Below are 25,881 nucleotides of genomic sequence, written 5' to 3'. Positions count from 1 at the left end.
GTTTGTGGGTTTAATATTTACAGCGTTAACGCTGTCAGAAGTTACCATCCCTCTGTAGATAGGATAAATAAGTTTCTAAAGACTGTTTTTTCTACTATTTCTGTATTTTACTCAAGTCCATTTCACACAGGCTCTTTAAGGCGGTGATAGTTTAATGGCAAAAACGTGATTTGAGAGTGAGTAGAAGATCTAGAACTGCCAGGTTTATTGTGGAAACCTGAGCACGTCTCTTAACCTCGTTGAACTTCAGTTTCTTTCCTCTATAAATAGGAAATTTATGTTAAATCACTTTATAACTTTATAAACTGAACCACATAAAAGTAATATTGTGGTATGGAACTTTTTAAAAGAAAAGTAAACATTTGGAAATTTCATGTCTGCCATGTAACTAATGTTGCTGCATTTCACATAGGTATTGGGAAATGAGAGAGCAGCGCACCCCCACTTTGAAAGGCAAGCTGGTTCAGAAGGCTGATCAGGAGCAGCAGGACCCTCTGGAATACCTTCAGTCTGATGAAGAGGACGACGAGAAGAGAGGGGCCCAGCGCCGGCTGCAGGAGCAGCGGGAGCGCCTGCATGGAGCCCTCGCGCTCATAGAGCTTGCCAACCTGACTGGGGCGCCACTCCGACAGTAGCTTGGACACTGACTCTTCCACTGTACAAAAGTACTGCCCAGCATACTTAAAAAGTAGATCCTTGGGCATAAGCTAAGCACCTTATTTGCTTATCATAGGCTGCTATTCTGTAGAAATTTATGAAGAATGTTATTGCCCCAGAATATGGGGTGAGAGAGAACTGCACTTTTTTAATATGGAAATGAATTCATCGTAAAGTTTAAAATATTTTGTAAATATGGACTGCACAGTACAGGGTAGAAAACTACATATTGTGGGAAGCTAGATTTTGCAAGTTTAATGCATTCATTGGAAGCAGTTCTCACAGGAAGCACTTTCTGAATAAGACACTTGTTTGAAAAACAGAATGGTACAAATAGCCAAAGAAGATTAAAACAGATTATTTATAAGATCATTTTTAACAATATATATTAGTATGTTTAACAATACTGTAAACACTGAAGCAAGCAAGAAAGTATAAAATATGTAAGATAGATAATTTTAATTGCAAAATACTGTGCCCACTAAGGCTAGAGAAATGGGAGGCTATTTTGGAAGATGTTCTAAGTAATGGACTTAGAAGAAAATAGATATTTGAGGCTCTTGGTAAGATGCACAATAGTTCAGAATTTTTGAAATTGGAGCAAAATCAGTCTTATTCTATCTGGGGCTTTACAACTCAGTATAATGTTTAAGTTTGAAAAGCACTTGTCATCCCTAGCATGTTAACTTGGGAACTTTTGCACATTTCATATTTCTCATTTGCTGAAATTGAGTGATTAATCTTGCAAAGTCTAGGTAACATAGTAATTGGTAATTTTAAAAATACATATTAAGGGCCCTGTAATGAGATTTGGCACTTGGATTTTTACTAAAGGGACACCTGCAGGGTTGTTTTGTAGTGAAATGTTTTAGATCTTTTGTTAGCAAACACTACATTTTAATTGTACTGCTTGTTTAGAATTATTAGCAAATGGAAGCCTCCATATTTATATTTTCAGTGCATAAAGCCACCTTCTTGCTTTACTTCAGAGTAACATGCCAAGCTATTTTGTGTTCACTAAATTTAGCTATCAGTTAAACACTGCAGAAAATATTAGCTACTCAAATAAGTAGGCTTCTGAAATAGTTTTAACTGCAAGTGTGTTAACTTGTGTGGTGGTTTGAAGCCATTTTTCCAAATAAAGTTATTAAACACCACTTTATGTACTGAAGCATGAACAGAAAAATCAAGAGCTGAGCAGACCACCTCCTTTATGTAGGCAAAACTTCCATCATTTTGGCTTTTGTTCTAAACAGAACTAAATGACATGCATAGCATGGTAACTTACAGATCGCTTAATTGGAGTAAAACTCAGAGTAATAGAGGGAAATATGGGCTCTTCAGTGCCTTTTTAGCTTTTTTGAGTTGAAGACGTTCCTACAGATGTAGTTTAAACATTACAAAGTAGGCTTCTTTATCCAAAAATCCCAATGTGTCATAGTACACAGATAGTTTAAAATATGTAGCCACGGGGAAGGGGAGGCATGTAAATGTCTTGAAGAGGAGAAAAAGTATGAAAGAAGATACGATAGTTACGAATAATGTGTATGATGAGGACATACTTTAAAAATGTAATTCCTCTGTACAGTAAATTACAAATCTTTAGGGATTTTTTTGTAATAAGAGAATTTATATTTGTAATGGTCTAAGAATTTTTTTGTAATGTGGTATATAGAATTTTAATTTGGAGCACTTATAAGCTGGTAAGAGAGACTATAGCATCTGAATTATCTTGGTTTATGTTTCAGCATTTCCTCTAGAATTTTTGCTCTCAAATATGTGATTTAATGAACTAAAAACAACACTCATCAGTCTTGGGAAATTTGAACTTTGATCAACTTAACTAAAGAAGGAAGGGTAGTAAGAATTTTTCAAATACAAATATTTGCCAATTCACAGATGATAACATTTAAGGCCTTCAAAAGTAAGGGTTTTTCCTTGTTTCTCCAGTCAGCTTTTGTCAACTCTAATAGTTTTTTCATAAACATTTTTTATTTGTATAATTGCAACAGTTTAAGAAATTATCACAACTATTTAGAAACATTTAAAATGTTCTTTTTGATATAAGCTATATACTTGGAAAAATACATTGGTATCTAAAATTTGAGGTGTGTTAAGACTGCTTTTTGTTTTAAAAAATGGTTTACATTCAAATTTTTGAAGTGTTTTATGCTTCATATGGCTAAGTTGTAGTTTGGCAGAGTTAACAGCATAAGAATAAACATGCTGTAATTTTAAAAGATGCTTTGAATAAAAATTTATTTTAATTTAAAATTTAAAGTACACGGTCATTCTTAAAGCCTTTATCATTTGTTTTCCTATCGAAAATATAATAACCATGATATAAAAAAATTTAAAAGATAGAAACATCACCTACAGCCTTATGTTCAGCCATCAGTATTATTTCAGTACATGTTTGCGTAGTTGTAAGTACAGTGTGGATTGCTTTTTCTTACTTTAATTATGGCTTTTAAGGTTATAGATATTTAACTTCCTCATCGGGTTCATTACTACAGTGTTAAAAATATACTGCTGTGGATAAGTATTGAACTATTGCCACCCCATTTCCAGGCCTTAAATTAGGGTAATAAGGAAAAGGGATTTCATTTCACTTACATTTAGGATGGGTTGTCTCTGGGGTCAGCTCCTCAAGAATCCATTTAAAGCCTGTGTACTTTTCTAAGAGTCTAGCAAATTGGTTTTCTTTTTTCATCAGTTATTTTTGGTAGATCTTTAGTTGTGTATTTGCAGTGGCAAGGGTCAGCCTGTCCTACCCTTGTGCAGAAGAATATCACAAGCAACTCCTTAGTGTGAGTTGCTGTTTAAACAGGGTAAGGATGGGATTTTGACAGCGAGGTAAGGTCCTGGAAGTATGTGTATACAATCAAACTAAATGCAATTATGATGAAGGTCATCATTAAAAATAACTTTAAAATATTCTTTTTGCAGTCAAAACATTTGGAGACTCACAAGAAAATTGAATGTTCTGAGGAAATTAACCAAAATGACCGATTTCCTGTTTAACTTGAATATGGATTCATTTTCTCTTTTAAAACGGACTTAACATGTCTTTTCTTTCTTGTTTTGGGTAACTTGGGCACTTCTGGTCTTTTTAATGCTAGCTAATTTTCACGAGTTCTGCTTTAGTTCTTATCAGGGCTGAAAATGTTTCCCAGTTTTCATTCTCCTGGTTGTTTAGTGCCTAAGGGTAGAAAAACAATTCTCTGGGCATCTATATAGTTAGGCCCCAACTTTTATTTAACTTGAAATCTTAAGCTTTTCTAAGAAGCTAAAAGTTCATATATATATATATATATAATATACATTATATATTAAATATATAATATATATATTTTTGAGACGGAGGCTTGCTCTGTCGCCCAGGCTGGAGTGCAGTGGCGCGATCTCGCCTCACTGCAAGCTCTGCCTCCCGGGTTCACGCCATTCTCCTGCCTCAGCCTCCTGAGTAGCTGGGACTACAGGCGCCCGCCACCACGCCCGGCTAATTTTTTTTGTATCTTTAGTAGAGACGGGGTTTCACCGTGTTAGCCAGGATGGTCTCGATCTCCTGACCTCGTGATCTGCCCGCCTCGGTCTCCCAAAGTGCTGGGATTACATGTGTGAGCCACCGCGCCTGGCCAAAAGTTCATATTTTTTAAAGACTGACAAGGGTAGGCGGTTCTGGGAAGCTGTCCTTCAACTGACCTGACCCGAAGGCAAACGGCCCTCCGCGAGGAATGCACCTACCACAAAGCACCCAGAGGACACCCAAGTCCCAAGGCTTCACCCACCTTACTCCTAGCCACTCCACTCCTAGATATTTATTTAAGAGAAATGAAGACACAGGTCCCACAAACGCCCACGAATTTTCATGGAAGCATTTTTCCTAATGGTCCTAAACTGGAAACAACCAATGGATACACAATTTGTGATACTATTCAACGATTAAACAAACCACATGGTCGAGTCCAAAGCATAGAGTGAAAACCCCTGAGACCACATGCTCATTCATAAATTCTAGAAAGCACCCTGTTTATTTGAAATTCCGGAAAAGGCAAACCTAACCTACAGCAATAGTCATCGATGAGATGCGGGCGTTAACTTCAAAGGGGCAGCAAGGGGAATTTTTGGGGCGATGGAAATGTTGTTTTGAGTAGTTACTCCTGTGGATGCCTTTGTCGAAGCTCATCTCAAACTATGGACTGGCAAGATGTGTACACTTCATTGTATGTAAATTATACACTAAACAAAAAAGTTGTAGGGAAAAAAAAAAAAAAGCAAAACAAGCCCTGAGACTTACTGAAGCGTTTCTTTCCAGGAAAGCCTGGAGGAAGGCAGCGCTTTTCAACTCCCCAGCGCATTGCCGGCCCTGGAGACCGAAGGAGGTGCCTGGAACCAGGGTGAAGTCCAGCGCGCAGGGTCCTCCCGCGCCGGCCTCGGGCGCTCGCAGGGGGCGGGTCGGGACCTGGGATTGCGCCGGGCTCTTCCTGTTCCTGCCGCGCCCTCTTCCCCGGCCCGGCCGGGCGGGACCAGTGCGCAGCCGGGGCTGGCGGGCGGCGGGGTCCGCGGGGCCGCAGGAGATGACGGCCGGCGGCCAGGCCGAGGCCGAGGGCGCTGGCGGGGAGCCCGGCGCGGCGCGGCTGCCCTCGCGGGTGGCCCGGCTGCTGTCGGCGCTCTTCTACGGGACCTGCTCCTTCCTCATCGTGCTTGTCAACAAGGCGCTGCTGACCACCTACGGGTGAGGCGGGGCCCGGGGCCGGGGGGTCTGCGGGAGTGCGGGGCTGCCCCTGTCCTCCGTGCGCTTCAGCGGCGCCCGGGACAGGGCGGGTGGGGACAGGGACCCTCGAGTCTCAGCTGGGCACATTGGTCGAGTTTCCCAGGCGCCCTCCAGAACTCGCTCAGCTTTCTACACTCAGGCCACAACCTGAGAAAGTCGTTCTCTTCCTGAGCGCGCCTGCCCTGCTGCGAGGCGCCCTGTCCTAGGTGGGCTGGTAGAGCTCAGACAGATTCTTTCATACACCCAGCGAGCTGAAAACAGGGATTCAAATGCCTGCTTCAAAGGACGCAATTCCTTACACAGATCTCCATGTTCAACGGTCAGGTACTCCTGAGCCAGTAAGTCTGTATTGATTGACTGTTCATTCTCAGATGACCAGCGTGTTCATGGAAAACTCGGGAAAACAATTGGAAGTTCATATGGAGTACTTTTTTGGATTAGTGTGAAGTAAACGCAAATTTGTGCTGCCTTGAACCTATTTGTAAGGACTAGAAAATCCTGCTTAATTCTGCTACCATTGTAGCGGCACTGAGAAAATTGTGGATTTAGACCCAGCTCCACCGGTTAACACCTGTCTTTTTGGACCAGTCTCACAGTCAGCAATTTTTTTCAGATGCAAAAAACCTGAATGATTACAATCGTGTTAATTACCCTCCAGGGCTCTGCACGAGCTGTTATATGTGAAGGCTCTTTGTAAACTCTACTATGTTACAAGAATATGCCATCAACATTTTAGAGCCCAAAGAGACCTAGAGTGTCTTAGTTAGAGAGTATCTTAGAGTATCAGCTTTCTTTTTTTATATATACATACAGATTCAGCTTATGTGGGTCTCACTTTTCTCGAATATAAAATACGAAAGCTGAGGCTGGCTGAGGTGGTTTGCACCTGTAATCACAGCATTTGGGAGGCCAAGGCAGGCATATATATATATATATATATAGTGTGTGTGTGTGTGTGTGTGTGTGTGTGTATAATATTTTTTTGAGACAAGGTTTCACTCTGTTGCCTAGGCTGGAGTGTAGTGACACAATCATGACTCACTGCAGCCTCGACCATCTGGGTTCAAGCAATCCTTCTGCTGCAGCCTCCAGAGAAGCTGGGACCATAGGTGTGCACCACTGCACCGGCAATTTTTTTGATTTTTTGTAGAGGTGGGGTCTCAGTGTGTTTCCAAGGCTGGTCTAGGCCTGCTTTGGCCTCCCAAAGTGCTGTGATTACAGGTGCAAACTATCTCATCCAGCCTCACCTTTCTTATTTTATATTCGAGAAAACTGAGGCCCACATAAGCTCGATTGGTTGTACCTCCAACAGATATTTATTAAGCACCTACTAAATACTGAGCCCATTGCAAGCACCAGGGAAGCCTCTGTGAACAGCACAAGGTCCCTGCTCTGGAGATTCTGCTTCAGTGGTGGAGACAGAAAATAAACAGGTAGGTTCATGAATAAACGAGACACTTTCAGATCTGATGTGAGAGTGCCTGGGCTGGAGTAGCTGTCACAGAGCATTCCAGGTAGAAGTGAGCAGCAAGTGTACAATGTGCTGAAGTGGGCATGAGCTTGGCTGCTGGAGGAACAGAGAGAAGATCACTGTGCCTGGGCGGGGAGGTAGGCAGGGAAGGCAGGAGTCAGCTCTTTCTCTCATTTTTGATAGCTTTCACTAAGCACTTGTGATGTACCAGCACTGTTCGAGGAGAACAGTGTTTTCCCACCGTTCTTGGGAAAGAGAAGTGAAAAGAGCAGATCAGAATCCTTAACTTCACGGAGCTGCATCCTTGTGGACCAATAAATGAGCCAGTAACATTTACATTATGTCAGATGTGACCAAGGTGCTGGGGAAAAAATAAAACAGGAAAGGGAGTGAGGGAGAGAGGGAGGGGAGAGTATGCAGTGTGAGCGTGATCAGTGGAGCCTCAGAAGGAGGTGGCATTGGAGCCAAGACCAGAGTGAGGTGGGGACATAAGCCACACTGGGGGACGGGGGAAGAGCATTCCAGGCCTGGAGGAGTGAAGAGTTTGAATGGGAATGGTAGCAGATGGGGTCTGAGAGTAATGGATTGCTGGCCTGTGTGGGGCCTTGGGAGGCCACCGCCAGGGCTCTGGCATCAGCTCTGAATGAGATGGGAGCCACGCAAGGTGTCAGGCAGGGGAATTACATGATCTAAATCACTGTGGCTGCTGTGTTGAGAGCCGACATCTGGGGACCAGGGTGGAAGGATGAGACTGGATAAATAGTTGTAGTTTCATGCTAAATGCAATTAGAAGTCCCTTGGAAGGTTTTGACATGGGAGTGACCTGACACAATTTGTGTGATTAAAAAGATCTCTCTGGCTGGCAGGCGGGTGGAGAACTGACAGTACTGGCATCAGGGAGAGGGGCTGGAAGCCACTGCAGGGCTGCAGGTAAAGACGGCGTGGACTGGGCAGGGCATAGCAGCGGAGGTAAAAGGAAGGGATGGATTTGGGATATTTTTTGGTGATCCTGTGGCCGTCAGTATTCTTGGCAAGGTCTCTCCAGTGTGTTGCAGCCTGCTGCCTGGTGTCCATGGAAAACACAGCCCTGCCTCAAGGAAATGAACATGGACATACTGTACCTAAACCTGGAGCATTTGACATGGAAGCTAATGAAGGAAAAAGAAAACTTAAACACTTAGGATAAAAAAAAAAGGCCGGGCGCGGTGGCTCACACCTGTAATCCCAGCACTTCGGGAGCCTGAGGTGGGCAGATCATGAGGTCAGGATTTCGAGACCAGCCTGGCCAGCATGGTGAAACCCTGTCTCTACTAAAAATACAAAAAAAACAAACAAAAAAAAACTAGCTGGGCATGGTGGTGCACGCCTATAATCCCAGCTACTTGGGAGGCTGAGTCAGGAGAATCACTTGAACTCAGGAGGCAGTGGTTGCAGTGAGCTGAGATCACACCACTGCACTCCAGCCTGGGCGATAGAGTGAGACTCAGTCTCAAAAAAAAAAAAGAAAAAATACCAGAAAATGAAAATGCTATTGATGGGCTTGTTTGGGAGTGGCCAGTCATTATGTCAATGATGGTTGAAGATAAGTCTTCATTTTGTGCACCTGAGTGAGCAGGGTGCTGACTGACCATGGCAGTCAACACCTCCAAAACCCAAGTCCTCTTATTGGAAGCAGGCACCAGCAAACCATGGTCAGTGCTTTGAAGATGAAGGGCAGTGTTTAACCAGGAAGACTTATGATATAAGACACCTCCTAAGAAAGGCTCTAAGGGCCGGGCGCGGTGGCTCACGCCTATACTCCCAGCACTCTGGGAGGCTGAGGTGGGCGGATCACCTGAGGTCAGGAGTTTGAGACCAGCCTGACCAACATGGTGAAACCCCATCTCTACTAAAAATACAAATATTAGCTGGGTGTGGTGGCAGGTGCCTGCAATACCAGCTACTCAGGAGGCTGGGGCAGAGAATCACTTGAACCTGGGAGGCGGAGGTTGTGGTGAGCTGAGACCACGCCATCGCACTCCAGCCTGGGTGACAGAGTGAGACTCTGTCTCAAAAAAAAAAAAAAAAAGGCTCTAGCCTTTCTATCTTTAACTTATTGAGTTTCATGATTGAAGGAGAAAATGGAGTTCTTGCCATAGGAAGGCCAAAACCCTCATAATCCTTTTAAATAAACATTCCACATTTCTGTAATGTAATATACAGTTGGAGAACCCTGTTCACATAACATTGTTCATTCTTTCCTCTCAAAATGCTTTAAGCTCACATTATTGAGGGGAGGAGGAGTGGGTTGATGTGGTTACAACAATAAACCATAGAAATCGGATCCAAGCATGAGTTGTCTGAGGATAGAATGTTGTGTTGTAGGATAGAAGAAAGGACCTTTTGGTAGTTACCTAATTCGCAGGGTCATGGGAATGTAGCTCAGGGGATACTTTTTCCTCTTTCATTTTGGGCAGATTGTTTCTGGTCAGGGTACCAAATGAATGGGTGATCTTAGTGATTTGTTAGTTTTATAATTCATTGTAATGCCAGATTTACCTGGTTGGACAGAGAGGCCTTTGAAGGCTGTGAACTGTGAGAACCTATTGGGGCGAGAGGGGAAAATAAGGGCATTTCAGAGTTTGTGGCCAGTTGGTTATGTCTTATTTTTTTTTTTTTTTGAGACAGGGTCTCACTCTGTCACCCAGGCTGAAGTGCAGTGGCACCATCACAGCTCACTTCAGCCTCTACCTCCTGGGCTCAAGTGATCTTCCCACCTCAGCCTCCTGAGTAGCTGAGACTATAGGAGTGTACCACCACACCCGGCTAATTTTTGCATTTTTTTTTTTTTCTGTAGAGAGGGGTTCTTGCTATGTTGCCCGGGCTGGTCTTGAACTCCTGGGCTCAAGCAATCCATCCGCCTTGGCCCCTTGAAGGGCTGGGATTACAGGTGTGAGCCCCCGCGCCTGGCTTGGTTATACTCTTGGTCCTTTGGGATCAAGTTCATAAGTGTTGTACAGTTGTTCTGGAGTTGTGCAGTTTTTTCTCTTCTTTCTTTTGAGACTGGGTCTTGTTCTGTTGCCCAGGCTGGAGCGCGGTGGCATGATCAAGGCTCACAGCAGCCTCTACCTCCTGGGCTCAGGTGATCCTCTCACCTCAGCCTCCTGAGTAGCTGAGACTACAGGTGTGCACCACCACTCCTGGGTCATTTTTGAATTAAATTTTTTTTTTTAATTTTTAATTTTTGTAGAGACGAGGTTTTGCTCTATTGCCCAGGTTGATCTCAAATGACTGAGTCAAGTGATCCTCCTGCCTCAGCCTCCCAAAGTGCTGAGATTACTAGCGTGAGCTACCACACCAAGCTGGTCTTTTCTGCTTTAACATTATATAATATTATACTCCTAGTCTGTGACATGGAAGAATTTGCTAATGATGCTTAATAAAAATATCTAACTTTACTGTATTCATTTCAACAAATATTTGCTCACTATTTACTATATATGTTTAGTATGCATCCAAAGGCTTTGAGGTTTTTTTTTGTTTGTTTTGTTTTGTTTTTTGAGACAGGGTCTTACTCTGTCACCCAGGCTGGAGTGCAGTGATGCAATCTCGGCTCACTGGAACCTCTGCTGGCTCAGACAATCCTCCAAAGTCAGCCTCCTGAGTAGCTGGGACTGCAGGTGCACACCATCGTGCCCAGCTGTTTTTTTTTTTTTTTTAGAGATGGAGTCTCAGTATGTTGCTCAGGCTGGTCTCGAACTCTTGGGCTCAAGTGGTCCACCTGGCTTGGCCTCCTAAAGTGCTGGGATTACAGGCATGAGCCATTGTGCCTGGTTTAGACACAGTAATTTCCAAACCTGCCCAGTAGTCTTAATCACTTGGAGAGGTTTTTTTTAATAAAAGGTACTGAATTGGAATCCTCAGTGGTGGGAACTGGAATTCTGTATCCCAAACCAAAAGCAACTCCTAATGTGCTCTTACTTTAATGAAAACCTGACTCTGTCCCGAAGATGTTGCTTCCTTCACCCCCCTTGATGGAGCTGGATCTTTGCCTTACCCACCAGGCCTAGGCCAGGAGATGGGATTGGGTCCTCCTAGCTCCCAGCTGCTCATGCTCTGTTGAGACTCTGGATGTGCCATCCTTTCTGTCTCCTGTGGAATGCTGCCTGAGCTTCTGGTGACTGATTATCTAAGTCTTAGCCTTCCTCTCCACCTAGCTCAGGTCACCCTTCCTGTGGCTTCAGGGCCCACACACTGAAGTGTCACAGTCTACTCTGGTCTCCAGCAAACTCTCCTGAACCTTGCTTCCCATGACTGCTGCCAGGATCCTCTCCTTACAAGTGTCAAAGTCAAAATAACAATGTGGAGACAAGGCTGTAAATTTAATGTTTTATTTGGGAAGAAAGAATTGCCATGTGAGTCATACATACAATCTGGGTGATCTTTGGAATGTCTGAAGAACAAAGAGAAGGTTCGAGGTTTTGCTGAAAAAGAAGAAATGTTACATACTGTGCTGGGAGAAAGTTTATTGGCACTGTCAGGGTTTGGGGAGCTGGCAAACAATGACTGGTGAGCAAAGGTGGTGGACAAAATTAGTCCTGGAGTTGCAGCAAGTGGTCTCAGAAGCTAGAGATAAAACTGGTTTCAGGTTACAACAAGCAGTTCCAGCAGTTGGGCTTGCAGAGAATTATATTCTTGGAGCCATATTTTGTACCCGAATGCTTTTCCTACCTGGTTACTGTTTTAGTTTGGTATGACAAGAGTGGCCCGTTTCGGATGATCAGCGGTAACACGAGTAACTGCACCTCTCCGAGATCTCCCCTGCAGGCTGTCCACACTTGGCTTCCCCAGGCCTCCTCCTCAGTCCCTTCTCGCTGCTGTGACTGTGCCTCCTGGCATTGTTTCTCTGCTTGGTCCGCTGAGAGCCACTCTAGGAGGGACACGTGAGACTCTTTTCTTCTCACTTTGGCATGCACTTGTCTTCTGCTTGCTTCTTTCAGCACTTGAGCAGCTCTTGAGTGTTGTGAGCCGAAAACCACATCTGGCTGGCTGGTTTACTTTCAAATTGTTGACCCCATGGCCGGGCGCAGTGGCTCACACCTATAATCCTAGCACTTTGGGAGGCCGAGGCGGGTGGATCACTTGAGGTCAGGAGTTCGAGACCATCCTGGTCAGCCAACATGGTGAAACCCCGTCGCTACTAAAAATACAAAAATTAGCCAGGCCTGGTAATCCCAGCTACTCAGGAGTGCAGTGGTGTGATCTCGGCTCACTGCAACCTCTCCCTCCTGGGTCCAGGCAATTCTCCTGCCCCAGCCTCCCGAGTAGCCGGGATTATGGGCGCCCACCAACCTCCTGGCTTATTTATTTATTTATTTAGAGTCAGAGTCTCTCTCTGTTGCCCAGGCTGGAGTGCAATGGCACGATCTCGGCTCACTGCAATCTCCACCTCCCGTGTTTAAGCAGTTCTTCTGCCTCAGCCTCCCAAGTAGCTGGGATTACAGGCACCCGCCACCATGCCTGGCTAATTTTTATATATTTTTTTAGTAGAGACGGGGTTTCACCATATTGGCCAGGCTGGTCTCGAACTCCTGACCTCGTGATCCACCCTCCTTGGCCTCCCAAAGTGCTGAGATTACAGGCGTGAGCCACTGCGCCCAGCCAGTTTTTGTATTTTTTTTTTTTTTTTTTTTGAGACAGAGTCTCACTCTGTCACCTGGGCTGGAATGCAGTGGCTCCATCTAGGCTCACTGCAACCTCCACCTCCCGGGTTCAAGCAATTCTCCTGCCTCAGCCTCCCGAGTAGCTGGGATTACAGGCGCCTGCCACTATGCCCAGCTATTTTTTTGTATTTTTAGTAGAGAAGGGGTTTCACCATGTTGGTCAGGCTGGTCTCGAACTCTTGACCTCGTGATTCGCCTGCCTCAGCCTCCCAAAGTGCTAAGATTACAGGCATGAGCCACTGTGCCCGGCCAATTTTTGTATTTTTAGTAGAGATGGGGTTTCACCATATTGGCCAGGCTGGTTTTGAACTCCTGACCTCAAGTGATCCACCTGCCTCGGCCTCCCAAAGTGCTGGGATTACAGGAGTAAGCCACTGCGCCTGACTCCCCGGCTAATTTTTTTATTTTTAGTAGAGACGGGGTTTTGCCGTGTTGGCCAGGCTGGTCACAAACTCCTGACCTCAAGTGATCCACCTGCCTTGGCCTCTCAAAGTGCTGCGATTACAGGCGTGAACCACCACACCCAGCCAGAATCAGAAGACTCTTGAAGGAGTTCTGCCCACATGATCTTCACTTCCTCATGTTCACATCTACAAGAACTCAGTTAAAACATTGGGGATACAGAAATGAGCAAAGAAGACAATAATAATTCCCACTACCTAGAATCAATACCTTTTTTTTTTTTTGAGATGGAGCTTTGCTTTTGTTTCCTAGGCTGGAGTGCAATGGCATGATCTTGGCTCACAGCAACCTCCATCTCCTGGGTTCAAGTGATTCTCTTGCCTCAGCTTCTTGAGTAGTTGGGATTACAGGCATGAGCCACCATGCCCAGCTAATTTTTGTATTTTTAGTAGAGACGGGGTTTCATCATGTTGGCCAGTCTGGTTTCGAACTCCTGACATCAGGTGATCCACCCGCCTTGGCCTCTCAAAGTGCTAGGATTACAGGCGTGACCCACTGCACCCGGCTGTCAGTACGTTTTTTAAGAAAAGTTATTCTGTTGTGATTATTATAAAGAATTCAGGTGGGCGGATCACCTGAGGTCAGGAGTTTGAGACCAGCCTGGCCACCATGGTGAAACCCTATCGCTACTAAAAATACAAAAATTAGCCGGGCATCGTGGTGGGCGCTTGTAATCCCAGCTACTTGGGAGGCTGAGGCAGGAGAATGGCTTGAACCCGGGAGGCAGAGGTTGCAGTGAGCTGAGATTGAGCCACTGCACTCCAGCCTGGGCAACAGAGTGAGATTCAATCTCAAAAAAAAAAAAAAGAATTCAAACAAAATAGAAATATTAGGGTAAAATTTAAAAAAAATTTACTATAATGAACATGAGGCAACAATTTCAGACATCTTTTTGGATGGATGGATATAGATAAATAGGTGGAGACATAGAAACATAAATGAATTTTTTTTTTTTTTTTGAGGCGGAGTGTCGCTCTTGCTCTTTTGCGCAGGCTGGAGTGCAGTGGCGTGATCTTGGCTCACTGTAAGCTCTGCCTTCCGGGTTCACGCCATTCTCCTGCCTCAGCCTCCCGAGTAGCTGGGACTACAGGCGCCTGCCACCACGCTCGGCTAATTTTTTTTTTATTTTTTTAGTAGAGATGGGGTTTCACCGTCCTAGCTAGGATGGTCTCCATCTCCTGATCTCGTGATCCACCCGCCTCGTCCTCCCAAAGTGCTGGGATTACAGGGGTGAGCCACTGCGCCTGGCCTACTTTTTTTTTTTTTTTTTGAGACGGAGTCTCGCTTTGTCGCCAGGCTGGAGTGCAGTGGCACGATTTCGACTCACTGCAACCTCTGCCTCCCAGGTTCAAGCGATTCTCCTGCCTCAGCCTCCCAAGTAGCTGGGACTACAGGCGCAAGCCACTATGCCCAGCTAAATTTTGTATTTTTAGTAGAGACGGGGTTTCACCATGTTGGCCAGGATAGTCTCTATCTCTTGACCTCGTGATTCGCCTGCCTTGGCCTCCCAAAGTGCTGGGATTACAGGCCGTGCGTGAGCCACCACACCCGGCCAATGAATTACTTTTTATAAAGATGGATTCATATTATAGAAGCTATTCATTTATAAATTATTTTCTTTAATCCAAAAAGGAGTTGGAAATGGGGCCTTTGATTTAATTATTTAATTTTATGAGGATTACTTAGATTCCTCCTCTCCCAAACTTTTTATTTTGAAAAGTTTCAAGCATACTGAAAACGGGAAAGCAAAGGAGGAGTGAACAGGGCACACACAGTACTGGGATTCCCCTCCAGCCTTTGAAAGTAAGTTGCAAGCATCACAGCACTGCACTCTGAAATACTTCAGCTTGCCTCTGCTGAGATCTTAGGATATTCTCCTACATTGTATCATTTGACTTTTAACAAACTTAACAACAACTTCCTAAAATAATCTACTACCAAATCTATAATCATCTGGTCCCCCTAAAGCGAAGAAGCTGAGGGAAAATTAACGTAGAGAGCTTATTTGGGCTGAGGTTGAAGATTGCAGCCTGGGACACTTGAAACACTTCTGGGTTTCCTTGGGGACTGCTCAGGAGAACAAAAGAGAAGCTCAAATTGTTTTTTTTTTTTTTTTTGAGAGAGTCTTGCTCTTGTCGGCCAGGCTGAAGTGCAATGGCGTGATCTCTGCTCACTGCAACCTCCGCTTACCAGGTTCAAGCAATTCTCCTGCCTCAGCCTCCCGAGTAGCTGGGATTATAGGCACCCGCCACCACACCCGGCTAATTTTTGTATTTTCAGTAGAGATGGGGTTTTGCCATGTTGGCCAGGCTGGTCTCGAACTCCTGACCTCGTGATCCGCCTGACCTGGCCTCCCAAAGTGCTGGAATTACAGGTGTAAGCTACCACTCCCGGCCGAGAGGCTCAAGTTTTTAAAGAAAAAAAGGACATATCAGGGGAGGGGGTGATTACAAAAGTGGTTTGTCAGGAATTCTCATTGTTTGCAGAAATAATATTGGTTAGTGATTGGCTACACATTGTTGAACTATAGGGTGTATGGCATTTTATGGCTACTTGGTATCGTTCTAGCTCCACATAGCAAGTGGCTTTAAGAGGTAATTATTGGGCCGGGGGTGATGGCTCATGCCTGTAATTTCAGCACTTGGCAGGCCAAGGCGGGTGGATCACCTGAGGTCAGAAGTTCAAGACCAGCTTGGTCAACATGGTGAAACCCAATCTCTACTAAATATACAAAAATTAGCCAGGCGTGGTGGTGGGTGCCTGTAATCCCAGACATTCGGAAGGCTGAGGCAGGAGAATTGCTTGAACCCAGGAGGCAGAGGTTGCAGTGAGCCGAGATCATGCTATTGTACTCCAACCTGGGCAAGAGCGAAACTCTGTCTCAAAAAAAAAAAACAAAAAAACAAAAGAACAAAAAACCCGGGCATGGTTGCTAGTGCCTGTAATCCCAGCACTTTGGGAGGCAGAGGTGGGCGGATCACCTGAGGTCAGGAGTTCGAGACCAGCCTGGCTAACATGGTGAAACCCCGTTTCTACTAAAAATACAAAAAATTAGGCAGGCGTGGTGGTGCGCGCCTGTAATCCCAGCTACTCCGGAGGCTGAAGCAGGAGAATCGCTTGACCCTGGGAGGCGAAGGTTGCAGTGAGCTGAGATCATGCCACTGCACTCCAGCCTGGGCAACAGAGTGAGATTCGTTCTCAAAAAAAAAAAAAAAAAAAAAAAAAAAAGTAATTATTTAATTATTTAGCTCAGAGAGGAGCAATATGAATGCTGTTACATTCCAGGGCCTCTCTGGGCCTGATAATTCCTTAGATAAAAAGTTTCTTTTCTTCTTTTCTCCCCACAATCCCAGTTGTCCCAAAGATGTTTTTTATGGTTTTATGATCCAATCAAGGCTCATGCAATACATACAGTTTTGTCTTTTTAGTTTCTTTTAATGTAGAAAAGTTCCCTATCCCACTCCCTCCCCGTAATATTGACTTTTTGAAAAGCCTGGACCAGTTGTTTTGTAAAATGTCCCATATTTTGGATTGTTCAGTTCATCTTTTGAAGTCTCAATTAACTTATCTTTCTCATTTTCTAACTGAAAGTTAGATCTAAAGACTTTATTTCATTTGGTTTAAACATTTTTGGCAAGAATACTTGATAGCTACCCTGGGAACGTCGTCTTACACTGTATCAGGAGTGGCCACAGCTCGGGTCATGCTGGCTGCACTTGAAGAGTTATTTAGATGGGTATTGCCATAGCATGCATGTATGAAATTTAGTTTTAACCAGGCTGGGCGCGGTGGCTCACGCCTGTAATCCCAGCACTTTGGGAGGCCGAGGCGGGCGGATCACGAGGTCAGGAGATCGAGACCATCCCGGCTAAAACGGTGAAACCCCGTCTCTACTAAAAATACAAAAAATTAGCCGGGCGTAGTGGCGGGCGCCTGTAGTCCCAGCTACTTGGGAGGCTGAGGCAGGAGAATGGCGTGAACCCGGGAGGCGGAGCTTGCAGTGAGCCGAGATCCCGCCACTGCACTCCAGCCTGGGCGACAGAGCGAGACTCCGTCTCAAAAAAAAAAAAAAAAAAAAAAAAAAGAAATTTAGTTTTAACTGAACTGAATGGAGAAAAGAGAAGTAGAAGTTCAACTGAAAGAATTATTGACTTTCAAAGATATATATTTCTTTACTACAAGGATTAATATGTCTTAAAAGTGTTAAAAGATCCCTCTAAATATAAGAGGTCTAAGATCAATGAAAAATATTAAAAAGCTAAAGTTATTGAGTTTCTTTTAGATCCAGTGTTTAAATTTTTTTTTTTTTTTTTTTTTTTTTTTTTTTTGAGACAGAGTCTCGCTCTGTCACCCAGGCTAGATAGAGTGCAGTGGCGTGATCTCAGCTCACTGCAACCTCTGCCTCCCAGGTACAATTCAAGTGATTCTCCTGTATCAGGCTCCCAAGTAGCTGGGATTACCAGTGTGTGCCACCACGCCTGGCTAATTTTTGTATTTTTTAGTAGAGATGGGGTTTCACCATGTTGGCCAGGCTGGTTTCGAACTCCTGACCTCAGGTGATCCACCCGCCTCGGCCTCCCAAAGTGCTGGGATTACAGGCATGAGCCACTGCATCTGGCCTATTGAGTAGTTTAATAACTCTGGTGGTTTAACTTAAATTATAGAATGGAATTCAATATAAAGTTATGGAATATAGTCTTCTAAATTCCAGGCCTACTAACTAGCCCTGTATAGTGGTGGTTTTCTGTCTTCCAGATCAATTTATCTTTTAAAGTTGTTTTCCTCTGCATGCACTATGATCACCTCAGGTGTTGGTCATTCCATTTTCAGCAGTCGCCATGTAGCTCCTGGGTGTTTCTAAAGGTATTTCCTTATGTGGCAGTTAGGTTGTTTGGTCTTAGCTGGTTTCCTTAGGTCTGCATGCTTTCTTTTAATCTCCTTTGACTGTCATATCAACTCAATTTTGAGCTTTTGTTTTATTGGTTTTATTCTTTCTGAGGTGTTCTATGGCCTGAAGCAATTAGCAAGACTTCCTTCTCTTCCATGCATTAAATTTTCTTCTAGGCTGGGCTCTTTGACTTATCTTCTGTGAGCCTTTTTGTTGTTATTTTACTATTTTTTAAAATTTATTTTTTTTTATTTTTTGGAGACAGAGTCTTGCTCTGTCGCCCAGGCTGGAGTGCAGTGGCACGATCTCGGCTCACTGCAACCTCTGCCTCCTGGGTTCAGGTGATTCTCATGCCTCAGCCTCCCAAGTAGTTGGGACTACAGGTGCCCACCACCACGCCCGGCTAATTTTTGTATTTTTAGCAGAGACGGAGTTTCACCATGTTGGCCAGGCTGGCCTCGAACTCCTGACCTCAGGTGATCTGCTCACCTTGGCCTCCCAAAGTGCTGAGATTATAGGCATGAGCCACCACTCCTAGCCGGGTGACCCTTTTTGTTGTTGTTTTACTGTTTGTTTATATTGTTGCCTTGTGATTTTGCTTCATGTTACAGGTTGTATTCTCAGAGGCGTAGGAAATATGTTAGGAAGTGATGCCAGGAGGCAGAATTAGGCAGAGGGAGAAGTTGGGCTCTGAGGCAGTCACAGCAAAGGCCTCATCCCAGGGGCCTTGAGTTGTACTGGCTCTGCAGAGCTGTCCTGAATTGGGGCAGGGGTGTAGCCGTTATACCCCTGCAGAGACCAACAGTTAAAATGCAGGCCATGCTCAGGGAGTGGACATGCTATTATCCGGCAGCTTTCTGCAGCAGAGGACCCAGCTGGGGAATGGTTGCTTCTGTGTGGAAGAGGGTATGGGTGGCATGACCCAGCACTCAGTAGAGTTAATTTTATTTGCATGGTGGTACTGTCCAGCCATTCATTCTGTTTTCTCTGATAAGTTAGGTTTATTCTTTATTCTCTTCTTAGACTGTCTGAGACAGGTGTGTTTCCCTTCTGACATACAGATTGAGGGCTGAGTTTTGTGGGGTATTCCAGCTTTGTGAGTAGCCTGAGAAATGACTGGGAGCCAGTGAAGGGTTGAGCCAGTGCAGGTGCGGTCCTGCCTTGTTAAAATATGATGTGAGGTAGGGGTCAGAAGTCTGCATCCAAATCACCCAGTGCCGTTTGCTGAAAGATCGTCTTTTCTCCACTGCTCTGCAGCATCATCTATGTCATAAATCAGGCATCCATATATGTGTGTCCCTGTCTTGACCTCTGTTCTTTTCCATTGTCCCATTGGATTATCTTTGTGCAAATACCACACAATCTCATTTATTGTAATTTGAACATGAATCCTGACATCCATTAGAGTCATTCCTCTGACTTTGTTTATCTTCAGGATTGTCTTGGGTGATATGTTGGTGCCCTTTGCCTTTCTTTTCATTCAGCTTTAGGATCAGATTGCCAGTTTCCACAAAATATCTGCTGATATTTCTGCTGAGATCGCACTGATTCTATAAATAAGTTCGGGGATAATGGACCTCACTACAATAGCAAGTTTCCAACCCATGACCTTTATTTAGATCTTTAATTTTGAGAATATTGATATATAATTTTTTATACAGATGCCTTTCTTGCAAATCTTTGATTAGATTTGTTCCTGGGTTATTATCTTTTAAAACTAGTATAATGAATCACTATGTAGCGATTCATTACCCAGTGTCCACAACCTTGCTGCATTTGTGTCCATCTCCCACTCACTCCACCATCTCCCCCCAGAGTATTTTGAAGCAAATTAAAAATATATCAGGTTTAGCTGGGCACAGTGGCTCCCGCCTATAATCCTAGCACTTTGGGAGGCCAAGGCGGGCAGATCATTTGAGGTCAAGAGTTTGAGACCAGCCTGGCCAACATGATGAAACTCCGTTTCTACTAAAAATACAAAAATTAACCGGGCATGGTGGTGCGCGCCTATAGTCCCAGCTACTCGGGAGGCTGAGGCAGGAGAATCGCTTGAACCCAGGAGGTGGAGGTTGCAGTGAGCTGAGATCGTGCCACTGCACTCCAGCCTGCGTGATAGAGTGAGACTCCATCTCAATGTGTGTGTGTGTGTATATATATATATGTAGAGAGAGAGAGAGAGAGGGAGTATAATATATATAATATATATATAATATACACATATATATATGTGTGTGTGTATATAATGTTTAGCTGGGTGTGGTGGCATGCCCCTGTGGTCCCAGCTACTAGGGAGGCAAAGGTGGAAAGATGGCTTGAGCCATCACACCACTGCACTCCAGCCTGGGTGGCAGGAAGCTGAGGTGGGAGCATCTTCTGAGCCCAGAAGGTTGAGACTCCAGTGAGCCATGTTTACACCACTGCATTCCAGCCTGGGCAACAGAGCAAGACACTGTCTTAAAAAGAAAAAAAAAAAAGAATTAAATGAAAAGTGAACAATTTGATAAATTTTCATTTTCTCAGATTGTTTAATAACTTGTCATTATTTATTATGTACTATCTTCAGAGTTTTATATTTGCTCAACTGATTTGTTGTTCTGTGTCCTTTGTAGTTTCCCGTCACCAATTTTCCTTGGAATTGGACAGGTGAGTGAAAAAAAATAGAATTAACCTCTTATTTTGTTATCAGTATTCATAATGACATTTTAAGTCCTTTTGTTTAAAGCTGTGGTTTGCAAATTTATTCAGCTGGCAGAGGACCAGAGGGTCATGGTACTCCTGGTGAGACAACAGGACATATTGACACTTATTTTATTTCAGTCTACAATTTAGGAACAATTGTATTTATGGGAAAAACAGCTTCTTATTTTAAGTTCCTTAACTGAATTTAATTACTCTAAAGCAGGGGGCTGCAAGACTCAAAGCCTCCAAGGCCTGGAGGGTAACACATGAGTTGGCTGAGGACTGGGTGGGAGAGAGAATACTTGTCCCACTCAAAGTGTCAGCTTGATACTTAGTTTAAGCCATTGTGCCTGACAGGAAAAGAGTTGAGAGATGGGGTGGGACCCACCATGCTGCCCTTATTATTAGCATCAGAAGGTTTTCAAGAGAGAGTTTGAATTTTTTTTTTTTTTTGAGACGGAGTTTTGTTCTTGTCGCCCAGACTGGAGTGCGATGGCACAATGTCGACTCACTGCCACCTGTGCCTCCCAGGTTCAAGAAATTCTTCCAGCTCAGCCTCCCAAGTAGCTAGGATTACAGGCACCTGCCACCATGGCCAGCTATTTTTGTATTTTTAGTAGAGACGGGGTTTCGCCATGTTAGCTAGGCTGGTCTCGAACTCCTGACCTCAGGCGATCCGCACCCACCTTGGCCTCCCAAAGTGCTGGGATTACAAGTACAAGGATGAGCTTGGGTAAGCTTTCAAACTACGCCCATTTGGCAGTTTCTGAAATTTCCCATTTATGTTAATTTGTGGCTTGTTTATTCTTGTGGTTGTATACTGGTGATTTCCAGATAAATAAATAGTAACAGATACCAATGTTTTTTGTTTGTTTGTTTTGATTTTGATTTAATTCATAGAGGGAAAAGCTTAACATTATGAAAATAGTACCTGTTAACTAAATTTTTAATTGTGAATCTGGAAAAGCCTGTCGTTTATGTGAGTAAACATTATTCTTTTTTTTTTTTTTTTTTTTGTGACTGAGTCTCAGCCTGTCGCCCAGGCTGGAATGCAGTGGTGTGATCTTGGCTCACTGCAGCCTCTGCCTCCTGGGTTCAAGTGATTCTTATGCCCCAGCCTCCCGAGTACCTGGGATTACAGGTGCGTGCCACCATGCCCAGCTAATTTTTTGTATCTTTAATAGAGACAGGGTTTCACCATGTTGGCCAGGTTGGTCTCCAGCTCCTGACCTCGTGATCCACCCACCTCGGCCTCCCAAAGTGCTGGGATTACAGGCATGAGCCACTGTGCCTGGCCAAATAAACATCATTCTGATTAAATGTCTTGCTAATAAATACCTCTTTGCAACATCATTTTAGGGAGAAACAATCATAACAAGAATTTTCTTACAGTAAAAAAATTATCTTTATATTTCAATGTAAAAATATTAGGAAAAAGCACGTTAAAAAAAAAAAGATCAGGCCGAGCACGGTGGCTCATGCCTATAATCCTAGCACTTTGGGAGGCCGAGGTGGGTGGATCACTTGAAGTCAGTAGTTTGAGACCAGCCTGGACAACATGGTGAAACTCAGTCTCTACTAAAAATACAAAAATTAGTCAGAAATTGCTTGAACATTCACTGGGAGGCAGAGGTTGCAGTGAGCCGAGATTGCACCACTGCTCTCTAGCCTGGGTGACAAGCAAGACTCCGTCTCAAAAAAAAAAAAAAAAAAAAAAATCAGTGATAAGGTGTCCTTTGTAGTCTCTAAGTGAAATAAATTCATTACTCTTTAACCCAGTGGCTTATACTCAAAGGTAAAGCCTTTCTGATTTGCAATTTGTTGAGGGAAGAGGCCAGTTAGATCTAATTTTAAAAGTCTGAATTACATTTAAGTGTTAGTATATTTATTTTATTTTATTTTTATTTTCTTCCTTCCTTCCTTTTTTTTTTTTTTTTCCAGTGTCTGGCTCTCTTGCCCATTCTGGAGTACAGTGGTGTGATCTTGGTTCACTGTACCCTTCACCTCCTGGGCTCAAGTGATCCTCCTGCCTCAGCCTTTCAAGTAGCTGGGACTACAGGCATGCACCACCACACTGACTAATTTTTGTATTTTTTGTAGAGATAGGGTTTCGCCATGATGCCCAGGCTGGTCTTGAACTTCTGGGCTCAAGCGATCTGCCCACCTTGGCCTCCAAAGTGTTGGGATTATGGGCGTGAGCCACTGCGCCTGGCCAATGTTATTGTATTTCTTTAAGAATTATAATGTGAGGCGTAAGTACAAAGTACAGTTATAATTCAGGATGGGCTTAATTACATAAATATATTATAAGTTTTAAGTTTGTAAACTCAGGAGCAAGGTATAGGATTATAATCGTGTTGAAGGAGTCTTAAATTTTCACATCCTAAAATGGAGAGAATTGAGTAAGTTCTAAAACTTGCATGAAAGATGACATTAAATTTTTATTTCATAATAATGATATGGAGTATTTCCAGTATACCTAGGGTACTCCAGATTAAGAGGATTTGAAGGAGACATTTTTGCTATACCAGCTAGATTGAAAAGTAAATCTTTAAAAGTAAAGTTTAAAGAACTTTTTTTCCTCTTTGTTGGTCTTCTGTTTTATGGAAATAATGGACTTTTTAAAAAATGTGCTTAGGTGTGGAGTTTCTTTTAAAAGAATGTTCCCGTGCCTTTATGGGGGAGGATGCCATATGCTTAGTATATGGGAAATATGGTCCAGGATCATTGTGTCATCTCACTGGCTGTGATCACTTTTGCACATTTGTCACTGTCAGGGAGACCATTCCCTTTCTCCCTCTGCCACAGTTCATTCCTAGAGCCCCGTGAGATAATGTGTGTGTGTGTCTATTGGATATTACACTTTTTTTTTTTTTTGAGATAGAGTCTTGCTCTGTCTCCCAAGCTGGAGTGCAGTGGCATGATCATAGTTCACTGGGCTCACTGCAGCCTTGACTTTCCGGGCTCAGGTGGTCCTCCTACCTCGGTATCCCGAATAGCTGGGACCACAGATCACCAAGACTGGCTAATTTTTTGTATTTTTTTGTAGAGATGGGTTTTCACCATGTTGCTTAGGCTGGTCTGGAGCTCCTAGGCTCAAGTGATCTTCCCACCTCAGCTTCCCAAAATGCTGGGATTACAGGCATGAGCCACGGCACCCAGCTGATATTACCTTTTTTTTTTTTTTTTTTTTTTGAGACAGTGGTGTCTCACTCTGGAGGGCAGTGGTGTGATCTTGGCTCACTGCAACCTTGGCCTCTCAGGTTCAAGCGATTCTCCTGCCTCAGCCTCCTGAGTAGCTGGGATTCTGCGTCTGCCACCATGCCCAGCTAATTTTTGTTTTTTAGTAAAGACAGGATTTCACCATGTTGGCCTGGCTGGTCTTGAGCTCCTGACCTCAAGTAATCCACCCATCTTGGCCTCCCAAAGTGCTGTGATTATAGCTGTGAGCCACCGTGCCCTGCCCGACGTTACGTTTTTTGCCTGGAGTTCTGATGGAATCTGTACTGTGGCAAGGAAAACAATGTTAATATTCTAAGAAATAGTTATTTTTTTCTGGAACCTAGAAAATGAATTTTTTGCTATATTTCTTTTTGATGAATGTGTTTTCTTTTGATGATGTCATTGTACCTCAAGCAATCTTTGCAGATATTTTGCTGAAGTTTCTCTCTCCCCTTTTCTTCAGATGGCAGCCACCATAATGATACTATATGTGTCCAAGCTAAACAAAATCATTCACTTCCCTGATTTTGATAAGAAAATTCCTGTAAAGGTAAGTAATGAAAAGTATGTATGACTGTGATAGAAGATGTGAAAATACACATTGATTTTAGAGTACAGGTCAATTTCTATACACACTGTACTTCCTGCCTGCACTGGATAGAAACTTCTTTTTTTGTTTGAGATGGACTGTCGCTCTGTCGCCCAGGCTGGAGTGCAATGGTGTGATCTTGGCTCACTGCAATCTCCGCCTCCTGGGTTCAAGTGATTCTCGTGCCTCAGCCTCCCTAGTAGCTGGGATTACAGGTGCCTGCCACCATTCCCAGCTAATTTTTTTTGTTTTGTTTTGTTTTTGTATTTTTAGTAGAGATGGGGTTTCACCATGTTGGTGAGGCTGGTCTCGAACTCCTGACCTCAAGTGATCCACCCACCTTAGCCTCCCAAAGTGCTCGGATTACAGGTGTGAGCCACTGTGCCTGGCCAAGAAACTTTAATAAAGACTGTATATCATTTAGTTGTCCATTTATGTAATGCAGTAAGTAGTAGTAAAAGTATGTGCTTAACAACTGACATCAAATAAATGAATACTGTGTGTCTTGGGAAGTGAGAGAACTCTAAATTAGGCATTGGCAAACTTTTTTGGTAAAGGGTCAGACCATCTCTTGTAATTATTCACCTCTGCCACTGTACCATGAAAGTAGCCCTTGATGACATTTAAATGGGTTGATGTCCATGTGTTCCAATAAAACTTTATTTACATAAACAAGAGCTGGGCTGGATTTGAGCTCTAGTTTACTGATTTCTGTTTTCAGTTTTCATTTTTATCCTGGACTGACAAAAGCTGTGAGTGGAATGAAGAATGCAATTTGATATACATAGAAATACGCAGTTTTTTCCGTCCTGGAACTAGAAACATAAAATCTGCCATTCCTTCGTGGACTGTGGAATGGAACTAACGTTTGTTGAACAGTTGCTGGGTTCCAGACATTAGGGCAGGCATTTAATTCTTAGACCAGTCCCATACAACAGGTGGTATTTATGGATTATGACAGCATTTAGGTTTAAATCAGACTGTCAGTTCCCTGAGGGTGAGGATCTCATGTGGCTGGTTTGCTGCTGTTTCTCTAGTGCTTGGAAAAATGCCAGCATCTAGCACTGGATTATTTATCAGACAGACCAAAGAAGCACATGCTTACAGCATCAGTAATCAGGGGAGCCCAGTGTGGTGGCTCACGCCTATAATCCCAGTGACTCGGGGAGATCAAGGCAGGAGGATCGTCTGAGGCCAGGAGTTGGAGGTCAGTGTGGAGAACGTAGTAAGACGTTGTCTCAAAAAAAAAAAAAAAATAAGCCAGGTGGGGTGGCTCACGCCTGTAATCCCAGCACTTCGGGAGGCCAAGGCAGGCAGATCACGAGTTCAAGAGATCAAGACCAGCCTGGCCAACATGGTGAAACCCCGTCTCTACTGAATATACAAAAAAATTAGCCGGGCGTGGTGGCGCACACCTGTAGTCCCAGCTACTCG

The 25,881-nt window shown here is 43.8% G+C and overlaps 2 protein-coding genes and 1 long non-coding RNA gene across 5 annotated transcripts in view, besides 3 other annotated features; all 3 read left to right on the top strand.

The window, feature by feature from the left end:
* ZNF367 (zinc finger protein 367) overlaps nucleotides 1-2,931 on the top strand; it is a 32,430-nt gene extending 29,499 nt beyond the window's left edge. The window contains exon 5 of the mRNA NM_153695.4: nucleotides 413-2,931. Coding sequence (NP_710162.1) covers nucleotides 413-635 — 223 coding nt within the window. The 3' untranslated portion in view covers nucleotides 636-2,931. The remainder of the gene's footprint in view (nucleotides 1-412) is intronic.
* Nucleotides 40-209: an enhancer, noted in NCBI's record as "experimental_110866 CRE fragment used in MPRA reporter constructs". NCBI's record gives its function as "activates a minimal promoter by MPRAs in K562 erythroleukemia cells, with activity observed for the introgressed 9:99151030 variant allele {active_cell/tissue: K562}" and the evidence as "EXISTENCE:reporter gene assay evidence [ECO:0000049][PMID:34662402]".
* Nucleotides 5,161-25,881, top strand: part of SLC35D2-HSD17B3 (SLC35D2-HSD17B3 readthrough) — a 148,406-nt gene continuing 127,685 nt past the window's right edge. The window contains exons 1-3 of the long non-coding RNA NR_182427.1: nucleotides 5,161-5,395; nucleotides 20,567-20,600; nucleotides 24,322-24,408. This is a non-coding gene — a long non-coding RNA (SLC35D2-HSD17B3 readthrough). The remainder of the gene's footprint in view (nucleotides 5,396-20,566; nucleotides 20,601-24,321; nucleotides 24,409-25,881) is intronic.
* SLC35D2 (solute carrier family 35 member D2) overlaps nucleotides 5,161-25,881 on the top strand; it is a 70,268-nt gene continuing 49,547 nt past the window's right edge. For all 3 annotated transcript variants that reach the window (NR_104627.2, NM_001286990.2, NM_007001.3), the window contains exons 1-3: nucleotides 5,161-5,395; nucleotides 20,567-20,600; nucleotides 24,322-24,408. Coding sequence is in view for 2 of the 3 variants with exons in the window: in NM_001286990.2 (NP_001273919.1) it covers nucleotides 5,238-5,395; nucleotides 20,567-20,600; nucleotides 24,322-24,408 (279 nt within the window). In the remaining variant the exon portion in view is untranslated. The remainder of the gene's footprint in view (nucleotides 5,396-20,566; nucleotides 20,601-24,321; nucleotides 24,409-25,881) is intronic.
* Nucleotides 5,173-5,502: a silencer, noted in NCBI's record as "silent region_20078". NCBI's record gives its function as "represses an Ori minimal core promoter by ATAC-STARR-seq in GM12878 lymphoblastoid cells {active_cell/tissue: GM12878}" and the evidence as "EXISTENCE:reporter gene assay evidence [ECO:0000049][PMID:35858748]".
* Nucleotides 5,513-5,562: a silencer, noted in NCBI's record as "silent region_20077". NCBI's record gives its function as "represses an Ori minimal core promoter by ATAC-STARR-seq in GM12878 lymphoblastoid cells {active_cell/tissue: GM12878}" and the evidence as "EXISTENCE:reporter gene assay evidence [ECO:0000049][PMID:35858748]".

This window comes from Homo sapiens, chromosome 9, assembly GCF_000001405.40.
Source record: "Homo sapiens chromosome 9, GRCh38.p14 Primary Assembly".
Lineage (NCBI taxonomy): Eukaryota > Metazoa > Chordata > Mammalia > Primates > Hominidae > Homo > Homo sapiens.
This window is presented reverse-complemented; position numbering and strand designations above follow the sequence as displayed.